The sequence below is a fragment of the Homo sapiens genome, chromosome 3, assembly GCF_000001405.40.
Source record: "Homo sapiens chromosome 3, GRCh38.p14 Primary Assembly".
Classification (NCBI taxonomy): domain Eukaryota; kingdom Metazoa; phylum Chordata; class Mammalia; order Primates; family Hominidae; genus Homo; species Homo sapiens.
The window spans coordinates 18,977,510-18,992,133 of record NC_000003.12 but is presented as its reverse complement, the minus strand read 5'-3'; the positions used below and the strand labels follow the sequence as shown (position 1 = coordinate 18,992,133).

At 37.8% G+C, this 14,624-nt stretch overlaps 2 long non-coding RNA genes across 3 annotated transcripts in view; one reads left to right on the top strand and one right to left on the bottom strand.

The window, feature by feature from the left end:
- LOC107986066 (uncharacterized) overlaps window positions 1-14,624 on the bottom strand; it is a 116,751-nt gene that overhangs the window by 90,770 nt on the left and 11,357 nt on the right. The window lies entirely within an intron of this gene.
- LOC105376978 (uncharacterized) lies at window positions 2,142-8,789 on the top strand. The gene is made up of 4 exons (XR_001740610.2): window positions 2,142-2,223; window positions 6,827-6,926; window positions 8,453-8,584; window positions 8,697-8,789. It is a non-coding gene; the product is annotated as an uncharacterized LOC105376978 (long non-coding RNA).

Sequence of the window (14,624 nt, the reverse complement as noted above, 5' to 3'; positions counted from 1 at the left end):
GAAAAATAAAAGTGGTTAACCAAGAGCAAGGCCAATAAAAAATACATATTTTCCTCTCCATATTGAAACTTCAGGTTGTGTTCTTAATTAGAGCAAAGTTCCAGTAACTTGATGTATATATGTGTAATGTGTGTGTGCATATTTACATATGTGTGTACATATCTGGGGATTGGAAGTTAAACCCTCAATACACACACACACACATACACACATACACACATATATATAAATACACATATGTAAATAGAGAGAACAATTTGGAGAATTTACATCTTCCTTTTAGGCACTGTGCCATTGCCAGCATGATGATCAATTTCCCTTCCTAACATTCCTAACCCCCCTTCTATGTGCCTACCAGGAGTTATTGCTCCGTGGAAGGAAAAACCAGCTCGTGCATAAATCATATATTTTTCTGTCAGATTTGGGTTCATTTGGTCAACTGGCATTTATGGAGTGCTCCTTAAAAAATGAATAAGTAGTAAGAATTCCTGACCTCATGGAGTTTACAATCTGGAGATGGAGGTAAGTGTAGTATCAATAAAATTCAAAATAAAACAGATGAAAATAAAATAATGAATAGGAGCTTAGATGAAACAACTGTTCATTTTTACATGGGAAATCAAGAAGAATCTCTTGAAAGAGGTAAATTTGACCAGGACTCTAAAGAACAACAAATAGTGAGCTTGTGCATTCCAGATTTTGGTCTATAGACTAGCACTACTGTATATTGAAGTTTAGCTGATCTAATTGATAAAAGCATAAAGAAGAAAAAGAAGAAAAATGAGATAAATGTGATGATTTTTAAAAACTAAATATAGCTAATGGAAAAGGATGTCTTTTTTTTTTCTTTCTGAGATTATGTTCTACCTGTTCTTTTTTTGCTAAAGTCTCTTTATTAAACAATGGTCAGAATATAAGGTAATCCTCAGGATTTCTTTCACCTTTTTTTGGCAAAATATTAATAAAAAGCTGGCAAATAAGTGTCAGTCTCAAAGCCTGAATATTTGGTTGACATTTTACTGGATCATTAAATTCTGGTTTCCTCTGTGTTACAGTTCCCCTATTTCCTTCTTTGTTTTGCTAACTTCCAAGTGCCTCTGTGATTTCCTAAGAGAATGAAGGAGGAAGGTAAGGAGCCAATTGGCTTTTTAGGTTTTATTTTTCCTGTGCAAGTGAATTACATTGATAATCTCATCAAGAAAGAGAGAAACAGACAAACAGAGAGGGAGAGAGACAGAAGCAGAGACAAAAAGTGAGCAAATGCAAGGAGCAATTAACAGTTTGATGGTACAGATCATATAAAAAAACGAGTTGATGGACATTTTTAATACCCACAAGAGGGTAATCAATCACTACACATTTGTGGAGGAACATCTCCTGGTCATTGTTTCATTTAATCATGTCTTTTTTTTTTTTTTTTTGAGATAGAGCTGAAGTGCAGTGGTATGATCTTGGCTCACTGCAACCTCCGCCTCCCAGGTTCAAGCGATTCTCATGCCTCAGCACGTGCGCATCACCACGCCTGGCTAATTTTTGTATCCTTTCTTTCGGTAGAGACGGGGTGTCACCATGTTGTCCAAGCTGGTCTCGAACTCCAGACCTCAGGTGATCCGCCTGCCTAGGCCTCTCAAAGTGCTGGGATTACAGGCGTGAGCCACTACCCCCAGCCTAGTCTTATACATTTTTAATGAACAAAAGAAAGGGAAAAAGTCCAAGGGAAATAATTATAGTGGATTCCGCATTAAATCCACAGGAAGCTTCAGAGCAGACCTGGGTTGAATCTGACAAAAGGAAATGCATGTGCAAAGGTGCCTCCCAAGCCCAGTCGTGGTAGAAAGTGGCATCAGAGAACCAAAATGGGAAATAACTTTGCTTTTTAAGCTCACTATTTTAAGGGGGGAAAAATCATTCTTAATTTTGGAATCTGCTGAAACTTAAGTTGATGCTAGTCCTATTTCCTTAATACATAACCTTCCTCTCTTATGAGAGCTTTTGATGTGACTCATCTTGCAGGTGAATAGTGAAAAATTAACTGCCTGTGTTTTTATTAACAATAGAAAGGTGTGCACTTCTAAACAAAATGGAGGCTCATGAGCAAAACATGCGGAGCTGCCCTGGCAATGAAGTGAAGAGACTTGTAACTTGGTGCCTGAGCCTGTGCTAAATGAGGGAGGGAACGGAAGGAGTTCATTTGGAATCAGAAGACTAAGTGATATGTTGTCGGTAATTATATTATCGCCATACTCTTGCTTCTTGACGACTAGCTCTCTATCACCCTCCTTCGACACACAGAAATCATGTCCGTTTCCATCCCGAACCTCATTTTCCATGTTAAACTTCCAAATAAATAAACTCTGTGGTGAATGAGAAATATTGTGGCTTGAAAATGGCTTGACAAGTACGAATGCTTTCATTCTTTCAAAAGGATCCTTAAAGTAAAATTGAAAGTTGGCATTTTTATTACTCAGAATTTTGAAGTGTACTGAAACACATCGCATCCGACTTGCGTGGATGGTTGCAATCTTTTGTAGATACAGTCATATGACCTTGGTGCAGATTCTTGTCTCTGTTACTAACGACACTTTACTTTTACATTAAACACAGTCTTAAGAAAAAAAAAATCTACTTAAGGGACATGTCTGTTGCTGTTCTGAACATAGCTTAACACAGACAGAAAGTATTTGTGGGCTGTTTACAGTTGCGGTGTCAGAAGAATGCTCTTTATTTACAGTAATTCGGAGAGTGTAAGATGGTGGCCCCTGGGGAAATCTGACTCAAAATAAATTTCTAAAAGCATATATCAAAGATGCTTGGAAAGATCATCTTAGAGGAGCTGGTTAATTGTAAGATTTTTACCCCCTCTCAGATGATCTTTGAGGATAAAATCTGAAAGGACAAGCATAATCTAGATTTAATTGTACACTTAGGATGTTCCTTTAGGAAATCATTTATATTTTTAATAGTGAAGTTATACATTTATTTCTAAAGCTACAGAGACAGCCTAAACTGCCTTTTTTCCAACATACACTTCAACATATTCAAAAATGTCCCAAAATGTGGACTCTATCCCCTATAGGAGAGTATTTTTCTGATACCACCAGGAAATAAGCATCAGGATGCTTTGCTATTCTTTCACCCCAAACACCAAAACTTACACCTTACTGAAAATAAATCAGAAAGACTTGAGAGTTCTGGGAATGCCTCTAAATACAAGGTGCAAGTAGATTACTACAGTATGCTTGTCAAAATCTGTTTTATAGTCACGAGATTTTTACTTTCCTCCTTTCCTAAATCGCACTATTGAAGCATAGCCACAAGAGGGAACCATTGTTTAAATGTTGGAAGGACTGGGTTGGTTTGAGGCATTCATCCAGCTCAAATCTCTCTTTAATATAAGAACCTGGTCAAAAGGGTTGAACAAAAAAAGTGAAAAAACACATGCAATCATCGATTCGGTTCTTTTAGATAGCTAAACTATTTCTGCTTTTAAACATACAAATAATCAAAGATGTTCCTAGGGCTGTAACCTGGCAACAGAAACCAAAGACCAGAGTCAAACACCTAATAGAAATTCATGTAATAAAGAAAGCACTGGTGAGTTTTTATTTTTCCATTGGTTCTAGCTTGCCTAAGAATGAGGCAAACTTTTTTGATGCAAACAGAAAATATTGAAACATTAGGAAACAAAGACAAATCTAAGCCTTTAAGCTCAAAGTGTTGCCTATCAAATAGCAAATTGTAACAATGATTGGTAACCGGAGAAGGGGAACATATGTTGTAAAGACTTCTTGCTCACTGCGTTGTGAACCAGCACAATTGTGAAATTCAGACTAATGCGATAAAAGACATATAGAATGGCTTCTTTGAGGTTGCACGGCACCAGGCTGGCACAGGTCCAGTTTCTGCACCAACAGAACTGCAAAACAAACTGGAAAATATTTGATGCCAGTAGGGCTTTTATAGGAAAACAGATGACGGCTGAGATTATTAATCCTGACAGTTTCCTGATTTATTAGGACGTGTCATCCTCTCTTTTTGTATAATTTGGCAAATGATCATAGTATTAGACTTAGTGGAGGCAGAGCTAAAGGTTTCCGCCCATCCTTTAACAGTGGCAGCAGGTATAAAGCAATATGGATTGGGTTTAGGCAAGAAGTGGACGAAATGAATTTTCAGTTACATATTGTCATTTGAGGAACACTGAGTGAATTTTCAGTTACATATTGTCATTTGAGGAACACTAAGTTGGTGTTTTTTTTCTTTTTTTTTTAACGACTGTCAACCTAGATACAGCTATGTAACTAAAATGCATTAATTAACTCTGAGAAATATACCTTCTGTTTATTTAATAAATCCAAAGTAAAGGTGACTAAATTTAAAACCCAGGTCTCTAGCAATTAAGAACAAATGTTACTGTTTACCATGCAAGCAATGAGAAACAAAGAAAACAGTCAGAAAATAGTAGTAATCTTTGAAAGCCATTCCTCTAAATTGTTATATGCTACAAAATGAAACACATGGAATTTCTCACTCTGAATCATTCATGCAAAAATCACTAAAACAATCTTGAGTGACTTCATAGTAAATTCAAGAAAGAAAACACTTGATATATTTTATTAGTGATCTCCTTCACAAAGATATTTTTATATTCTATTTTTATAATCCCCTGCATTTAAAATAACTGCAACAGAAATTAAGTCTCAATCAAAGTGTATCACAACTAAAGATATTTCCAATGAAACAATATTATCTCCAATACAGTTTTATCAAACTATAAAAAACTGAACTTAAAATGCTACAATTGAACACTTTTTTTATTAAGAAAAATCATGCCTGCACCTATATTTCAAGACTGACATATTGTGCAATAAACAGCAATCAGTCTAAAGATGCTATATTAAACAAACCAAGTTTTGTTTTGCTAAACTAAGCAAAATTAGTTGAATGCCCTAAGTAATAGTTGCTGGTATTTTTTTCTAAATTATTTCTCCACTTGTTTTTGTGTCTATGCATAAATTAAAAATCTGCTGAAATTTATTATTCATCTGAGATGTAATTAATATGCAAAATTATGCAAATTAAGATGCAATTAGGCTTCAATTCTCTAGTGGAATTTTCCATTATAATTTAATACAAAGTAATAGAGTAATTGGTGTCACGTGTAATTACGGTTACTCACGTGTACTTGCAGACGTGCAAATGATGTGGTATATGTTAGTTATCCTATGCAAATGGATCATGCAATCTCTTAATACTTGGGAATGAAGTAAACAAAGATGGTCTTCAAAAAACGGGTGAGAGGGACCCCTCTTTCTTCTTATGTGCTACCATTTTGAGGAACTATGTGAATAATTGTAACTAATTTCCTTGCAGTTATTTCTAAGAATTTTTAAAGTGGTGTTATGCAGTGCATTGTTTATTACTCTAGAGAAATTATTTCTGGTAAAAAAATGAATCTTTAAACAGAGACCTAATAGTGATTCAGATGCCACATAGGTGCACCCAGGATGACAGCAAGCAAACAAAAACTGTGTCTATCAGGGCAAAGGCTGTTTTTGTATCAGGCTGAAAAGGTCTCTTCTCTAAAAGAAATAACATAGCCAGCTTTGCCAAATAAATCATTTAACAATTTTCTGTTATTTCCTGATTATGAAGTTGACCAATTTGCTTTGCAACCTCTGCAGAAGCCAGACAGTTTGATTTTTAAAACCAAAATTTCTTCCCTCCTAATATGTAAAATTCCAGGAGAATTCAGTGTCATTTCTTTCTGAATGAATAAAGCAATAAGTAAATTGAACTATATAATTCTCTTCGTCAGTAACTCTGCCATTTGGTTCAAGGGACTCATCTGCTAACTACCGTGTTTCTCCTTGTGCCTTTCTAGAGAAATGAAAAGAACGGCTCTCCCATGCGCTTGTCCTGAGCCTGGAGCTGCTGCTTATAATTTCTCCATGAGAAATGATTGCTGCTTGTTTTAAAACACCCATGCTGTGTTGAATCTTGCACAGAAAACATTATGATCTCGACACTTTCCTTCTCATAACTGAAGCACACACTTTAAGACGAGTATTTTATATTCTCAGCTCCAATTAACCTGAAGTGTTTCTCTTCCCTATGTCTCCCCCCACCCCCACACCCTTCACCTGAGTCTATCCTTCTACCCTTTGTAACAGACAGATTTTGTTTTTTCCAGGAGGGGATGTGTGATATACTCTATTATAATTAATAAGTGTGGGCACTGGCAGACAGGAAGGGGCATGATATAAAGTAGTAGATAAGCAGCTTCACGCTTTCTCCACTATATTCCTACTTTCTATCCCTTTTCCTCCACCCACTGTGGATGGTTATTTGAAATAACAGGCATGGATAAGAGAAAAGAAAAGCTACCATTTGTCTCTCAGGCTATACCCTTTTGTAGCCCCACCCATTCATCCATATGTGGCTTTCCCATTCATTCCAGTAATAATACCAATTACTATGCAGGCAGGGCCATTCTTATTCACATTTGCAGCTCACTGTGGACATTTATGCTACACTCTGAGCAACATTCATAACTTCAACAACATCGATTATACAGCTGTTGTACAATCATTGTAAATGAAATATACAATGCCTTATTCAGCTCTCTGAATCATTTGTGATCCTTGGATGTGGGGCAGGAGGGAGGTAGCTTGCTCCCTCTGCCTTACTTTTCTCTGGCACTGACCTCATTTTCTAAGTCCAGATACTTTCAGGAGCTTAGGATAAGAAGAGACCAACAGGCCAATTTGTAAATAAGAACCAAAAAAGCTGAAGCAGTGTTTCTTTTTTTTTTTTTTTCTGACAGGAGGGACTTTGGAATCCAGTTTAATGGAAAAAGGAGGCCCCTGAGTCTTCAGCGTCACAAACAATGACTGTTCCTGGACTTGTGTGACCACACATCCCAGGTCAGACAAATGGACCTTGACGCAAGCTTTCTGAGATCACCCAACCAGAATGTCCAATGCAGGCATATGCTTCTCTCTTTGAGCTATTTTCTCTCTTTCCTCATCAACTTTTCTCCTCTGTTCTCAACAGGTTACATTTATTGGCCAAAACCAATATTACGTATCTGTATTTTCTTCTTTGATGAAATTTTTAAATTTGGTCTGCCTTTTCCAAACGGATCTAATTCATGAATCTTTTGATGTTCCTTTCTTTCCCCAATTTTGGTTCTTTCAAACCTCAGACTCAGATAGCTGAATTGACATACACAAGATGCTGTACACATGACCATCCATTCACCCATGTACACAGTCACATACAATGATTGCAAGTCAAATTATGTTTGTTTTACAGATAAAAAGGTCAATGCCTTAAAGAAGGCCATATAGATAATATATGATGGAGCTGAGACTTAAGTAAAAAGACTAGCCTTTTTCTCTATAAAAATTTATTTTTATTTATCAAACATTTTGATATTTCTTTAAAGCTTTTCAAATAAACTTTTTTACATTTTATCAACTAGGAAAATCAAAAATATCTTCTAATTAATAAAATTTTGACAGTCATTCTCAGAAAAACAGCAGTGATTATGTAGCTGTTGATGTTTGTATATGCACAAACATTTTTTGTTGTTATTCTTGGTGAGTGGCTGAACAATTGAAATCCTTTGAATGTTTAGTCAACAATCTTTAACTTAAGGACCATTTAAAGAAACAACACAAGTCTTTCTGTTTGAAAATTCTCCATTGACATCTTCTAGTAAGATCAAGAAAGTGCCAACATGAAAACTCTTGTTATGGTTTCAGTGACTTAGAAAAAATTCCAGGAGACAATGGGGAGCACTCTTTTAACTGCTACATCACCAGTGCTGCTAATAGCACCAACAATAATACTGTGTTTAAATCACAATGGAAAACTAATTCATGTCAGGCTAATAATGTGGGGAGGTTTTAAGAATACAAACCAAATTATTTCACTTAGTATTTCTTACACACACACACACACACACACACACAGACACACATATATGCCCATGAGTGACATATGATAAAAATTACTGTGAAAATAACTCTGAAAGAGCTGTTTAAATAATTATAAAACAACAATTCCGAGTGATAAGAAAGCATTGTGTCATAGGTTAATTAGCAGCCATCTTTTCGTTCTTAGGGGCACATAAAAAAACGATGCATCTTATATTCAGTGGTGTCTTAGAAACATGGAAATATATTAGAAACTCATTTCATCTCATAAACATTGTAGGAGGTTGGTGCTATTTGTTTCACTTTATATGTTAAGGACTGAGGAACAGAACTAACTCATGTGAGGTTACATATCTAGTACATCCTGGAGCAAAAATTGGAACCCAGATAATTTGACTAGAGTTCCTGCTTACACTGGACCAAATCTGGCCTATAGACAGAATCTGTTCAGTTTAGACATTGATTTTTTTTTCTCTCAAGTTATTATTACTTTGCTGTTTTTGTTATAGGCACTTAAAATTGGGAAATTTGGGGGAAGCAAGATGGCCAAATAGAACAATCCAGCAATTCTTCCCATGCAGTAATACCAAATTTAACAACTATCCCCACAAGAAAGCATCTTCATAAGATACAAAAATCAGGTAAGCGATCACGTTACCTGGTTCTAACATTATATCAAGGGAAGAGGCACTGAAGTGGGCAGGAAGGACAGTCTTGCATTGCCTACACCACTCTGTCCTCATCTTTTGACAGCTCATGAAGAGAGAATCTGTATGCTTGGGTGAGGGAGAGAGACATGATTGTGGGAACTGGTATTGAAACTCAGTCCTGCCCTGTCACAGTGGAACACAGCACAGGGCAGAATTTGTCCAGTGACCATGGAAGAAGCATTTAAACCAGTCCCAGCCAGAGGGTACTCCTCCACTCCAGTGGCAAGAACCCGAGTTCTGCCTAGCCCCACCACCAGAAACTAAAGTGCCATGGAGTCCTGAATAAATATTAAAGGCAGTCCACAAGGACTGCAGAACTTTGGCAAGTCCTTGTGCTGCACTGGGCTCAGAGCCAGTGGACTTGGGGTGAATGTGACCCAGTGAGACACCAGATGGGGTGGCCAACGGAGTTCCTGTATCACCCCTCCTCCAACCCCAGGAAGTGCAGCTCAGGGAAAGACTCCTTCTGCCTGAGGATAGTAGAGTAAAGAGTAAAAGAGTAAAGAGGACTTTGTCTTGCAACTTGGATGCAAGCTTAGCCACAATAAATAAGGCAGCAAGCACCTGAAGCCTCTGATTCCAGGCCCTAGCTCCTTGATGGAATTTCTAGACACACCCTGGGACAGAAGGGAATCCACTGCCCTAAAGAGAAAGATCCAGTCTTGGTAGTATTCACCACTTTCTGACTAAAGAGCCCTTAGACCTGGAATAAACATCAGCAGTAGCCAGGCAGTAGTCATCACAGGCCTTAGGAAAGACTCAGTACCATACTGGCTTCAGGAATGACCTGGCACAGTCCCAGCTGTGGTGGACACAGGATTGCTTGCATCACCCTTCACCAACTCCAGTTCAACATGGCAAGACTCCATTTGTTTGGGGGAAACTGAGGGATGAGGACAAGAGACTCTGCCTGGTAATCAAGAAAGTTTCTCCAGACTTTATCCAAGCCCACCAAGGTGATACTTATATGATTCTGCAAGAGTTGCAACATTACTGGGCTTGGAGTGCCCACTAGTGCAGATACAGCTGTAGTGACCAAAAACTTAGATCACAACACTCAATTCCTTTTGAATACCTGGAATGCTTCTCAAGGAGGATGGTACAAATAAGCCCAGACTGCAAAGATAAGAATAAGTACCAAACTCTTCAAAGCCCAGACATTCTGAACATCCACAAGCATCAAGACCATCCAGGACAACATGACCTCATCAACTGAACTAAAATAAGGTACCAGGGACCAATCCCAGAAGGACAGGCATATGTAACATTTCAGAACAGAGGATTCAAAATAGCTATTTCAAGGAAGCTCAATAAAGTTCAAAATAACACGGAGAAGGAATTAAGAATCCTATCAAAGAAAGTTAACAAAGATTGAAATTTTTTTTTTTGGTGACTTTTTTTTTATTATACTTTAAGTTTTAGGGTACATGCGCACAATGTGCAGGTTAGTTACATATGTATACATGCGCCATGCTGGTGCGCTGCACCCACTAACTCGTCATCTAGCATTAGGTATATCTCCCAATACTATCCCTCCCCACTCCCCCAACCCCACAACAGTCCCCAGAGTGTGATATTCCCCTTCCTGTGTCCATATGTTCTCATTATTTAATTCCCACCTATGAGTGAGAATATGCGGTGTTTGGTTTTTTGTTCTTGAGATAGTTTACTGAGAATGATGATTTCCAATTTCATCCATGTCCCTACAAGGGACATGAACTCATCATTTTTTATGGCTGCATGGTATTCCATGGTGTATATGTGCCACATTTTCTTAATCCAGTCTATCATTGTTGGACATTTGTGTTGGTTCCAAGTCTTTGCTATTGTGAATAGTGCCGCAATAAACATATGTGTGCATGTGTCTTTATAGCAGCATGATTTATAGTCCTTTGGGTACATACCCAGTAATGGGATGGCTGGGTCAAATGGTATTTCTACTTCTAGATCCCTGAGGAATTGCCACACTGACTTCCACAATGGTTGAACTAGTTTACAGTCCCACCAACAGTGTAAAAGTGTTCCTATTTCTCCACATCCTCTCCAGTACCTGTTGTATCCTGACTTTTTAATGATTGCCATTCTAACTCGTGTGAGATGATATCTCATTGTGGTTTTGATTTGCATTTCTCTGATGGCCAGTAATGGTGAGCATTTTTTCATGTGTTTTTTGGCTGCATAAATGTCTTCTTTTGAGAAGTGTCTGTTCATGTCCTTTGCCCACTTTTTGATGGGGTTCTTTGTTTTTTTCTTGTAAATTTGTTTGAGTTCATTGTAGATTCTGGATATTAGCCCTTTGTCAGATGAGTAGGTTGCGAAAATTTTCTCCCATTTTGTGGGTTGCCTGTTCACTCTGATGGTAGTTTCTTTTGCTGTGCAGAAGCTCTTTAGTTTAATTAGATCCCATTTGTCAATTTTGGCTTTTGTTGCCATCGCTTTTGGTGTTTTAGACATGAAGTCCTTGCCCATGCCTATGTCCTGAATGGTAATGCCTAGGTTTTCTTCTAGGATTTTTATGGTTTTAGGTCTAACGTTTAAGTCTTTAATCCATCTTGAATTGATTTTTGTATAAGGTGTAAGGAAGGGATCCAGTTTCAGCTTTTTACATATGGCTAGCCAGTTTCCCCAGCACCATTTATTAAATAGGGAATCCTTTCCCCATTGCTTGTTTTTCTCAGGTTTGTCAAAGATCAGATAGTTGTAGATATGTGGTATTATTTCTGAGGGCTCTGTTCCATTCCATTGATCTATATCTCTGTTTTGGTACCAGTACCATGCTGTTTTGGTTACTGTAGCCTTGTAGTATAGTTTGAAGTCAGGTAGCGTGATGCCTCCAGCTTTGTTTTTTTGGCTTAGGATTGACTTGGTGATGCGGGCTCTTTTATGGTTCCATATGAACTTTAAAGTATTTTTTTCCAATTCTGTGAAGAAAGGCATTGGTAGCTTGATGGGGATGGCATTGAATCTATAAATTACCTTGGGCAGTATGGCCATTTTCACGATATTGATTCTTCCTAACCATGAGCATGGAATGTTCTTCCATTTGTTTGTATCCTCTTTTATTTCATTGAGCAGTGGTTTGTAGTTCTCCTTGAAGAGGTCCTTCATGTCCCTTGTAAGTTGGATTCCTAGGTATTTTATTCTCTTTGAAGAAATTGTGAATGGGAGTTCATTCATGATTTGGCTCTCTGTTTGTCTGTTATTGGTGTATAAGAATGCTTGTGATTTTTGTACATTGATTTTGTATCCTGAGACTTTGCTGAAGTTGCTTATCAGCTTAAGGAGATTTTGGGCTGAGACAATGGGGTTTTCTAGATATACAATCATGTTGTCTGCAAACAGGGACAATTTGACTTCCTCTTTTCCTAATTGAATACCCTTTATTTCCTTCTCCTGCCTAATTGCCCTGGCCAGAACTTCCAACACTATGTTGAATAGGAGTGGTGAGAGAGGGCATCCCTGTCTTGTGCCAGTTTTCAAAGGGAATGCTTCCAGTTTTTGCCCATTCAGTATGATATTGGCTGTGGGTTTGTCATAGATAGCTCTTATTATTTGGAGATACGTCCCATCAATACCTAATTTATTGAGAGTTTTTAGCATGAAGGGTTGTTGAATTTTGTCAAAGGCTTTTTCTGCATCTATTGAGATAATCATGTGGTTTTTTTCTTTGGTTCTGTTTATATGCTGGATTACATTTATTGATTTGTGTATATTGAACCAGCCTTGCATCCCAGGGATGAAGCCCACTTGATCATGGTGGATAAGCTTTTTGATGTGCTGCTGGATTCATTTTGCCAGTATTTTATTGAGGATTTTTGCATCAATATTCATCAAGCATATTGGTCTAAAATTCTCTTTTTTGGTTGTGCCTCTGCCCACCTTTGGTATCAGGATAATGCTGGCCTCATAAAATGAGTTAGGGAGGATTCCCTCTTTTTCTATTGATTGGAATAGTTTCAGAAGGAATGGTACCAGTTCCTCCTTGTACCTCTGGTAGAATTCGGCTGTGAATCCATCTGGTCCTGGACTCTTTTTGGTTGGTAAGCTATTGATTATTGCCACAATTTCAGATCCTGTTACTGGTCTATTCAGAGATTCAACTTCTTCCTGGTTTAGTCTTGGGAGAGTGTATGTGTTGAGGAATTTATCCATTTCTTCTAGATTTTCCAGTTTATTTGCATAGAGGTGTTTGTAGTAATCTCTGATGGTAGTTTCTATTTCTGTGGGATCGGTGGTGATATCCCCTTTATCATTTTTTATTGCATCTATTTGATTCTTCTCTCTTTTTTTCTTTATTAGTCTTGCTAGCAGTCTATCAATTTTGCTGATCCTTTCAAAAAACCAGCTCCTGGATTCATTAATTTTTTGAAGGGTTTTTTTGTGTCTCTATTTCCTTCAGTTCTGCTCTGATTTTAGTTATTTCTTGCCTTCTGCTAGCTTTTGAGTGTGTTTGCTCTTGCTTTTTTAGTTCTTTTAATTGTGATGTTACGGTGTCAATTTTGGATCTTTCCTGCTTTCTCTTGTGGGCATTTAGTGCTATAAATTTCCCTCTACACACTGCTTTGAATGTGTTCCAAAGATTCTGGTATGTTGTGTCTTTGTTCTCATTGGTTTCAAAGAACATCTTTATTTCTGCCTTCATTTCGTTATGTACCCAGTAGTCATTGAGGAGCAGGTTGTTCAGTTTCCATGTAGTTGAGCGGTTTTGAGTGAGTTTCTTAATCCTGAGTTCTAGTTTGATTGCACTATGGTCTGAGAGATAGTTTGTTATAATTTCTGTTCTTTTACATTTGCTGAGGAGAGCTTTACTTCCAAGTATGTGGTCAGTTTTGGAATAGGTGTGGTGTGGTGCTGAAAAAAATGTATATTCTGTTGATTTGGGGTGGAGAGTTCTGTCGATGTCTATTAGGTCCTCTTGGTGCAGAGCTGAGTTCAATTCCTGGGTATCCTTGTTGACTTTCTGTCTCGTTGATCTGTCTAATGTTGACAGTGGGGTGTTAAAGTCTCCCATTATTAATGTGTGGGAGTCTAAGTCTCTTTGTAGGTCACTCAGGACTTGCTTTATGAATCTGGGTGCTCCTGTATTGGGTGCATATATATTTAGGATAGTTAGTTCTTCTTGTTGAATTGATCCCTTTACCATTATGTAATGGCCTTCTTTGTCTCTTTTGATCTTTGTTGGTTTAAAGTCTGATTTATCAGAGACTAGGATTGCAACCCCTGCCTTTTTTGTTTTCCATTTGTTTGGTAGATCTTCCTCCATCCTTTTATTTTGAGCCTATGTGTGTCTCTGCATGTGAGATGGGTTTCCTGAATACAGCACACTGATGGGTGTTGACTCTTTATCCAATTTGCCAGTCTGTGTCTTTTAATTGGAGCATTTAGTCCATTTACATTTAAAGTTAATATTGTTATGTGTGAATTTGATCCTGTCATTATAATGTTAGCTGGTTATTTTGCTCGTTAGTTGATGCAATTTCTTCCTAGTCTCGATGGTCTTTACATTTTGGCATGATTTTGCAGCGGCTGGTACCAGTTGTTCCTTTCCATGTTTAGTGCTTCCTTCAGGAGCTCTTTTAGGGCAGGCCTGGTGGTGACAAAATCTCTCAGCATTTGCTTGTTTGTAAAGTATTTTATTTCTCCTTCTCTTATGAAGCTTAGTTTGGCTGGATATGAAATTCTGGGTTGAAAATTCTTTCCTTTAAGAATGTTTAATATCGGCCCCGACTGTCTTCTGGCTTGTAGAGTTTCTGCCGAGAGATCCGCTGTTAGTCTGATGGGCTTCCCTTTGAGGGTAACCCGATCTTTCTCTCTGGCTGCCCTTAACAATTTTTCCTTCATTTCAACTTTGGTGAATCTGACAATTACGTGTCTTGGAGTTGCTCTTCTCAAGGAGTATCTTTGTGGCGTTCTCTGTATTTCCTGAATCTGAACATTGCCCTGCCTTGCTAGATTGGGGAAGTTCTCCTGG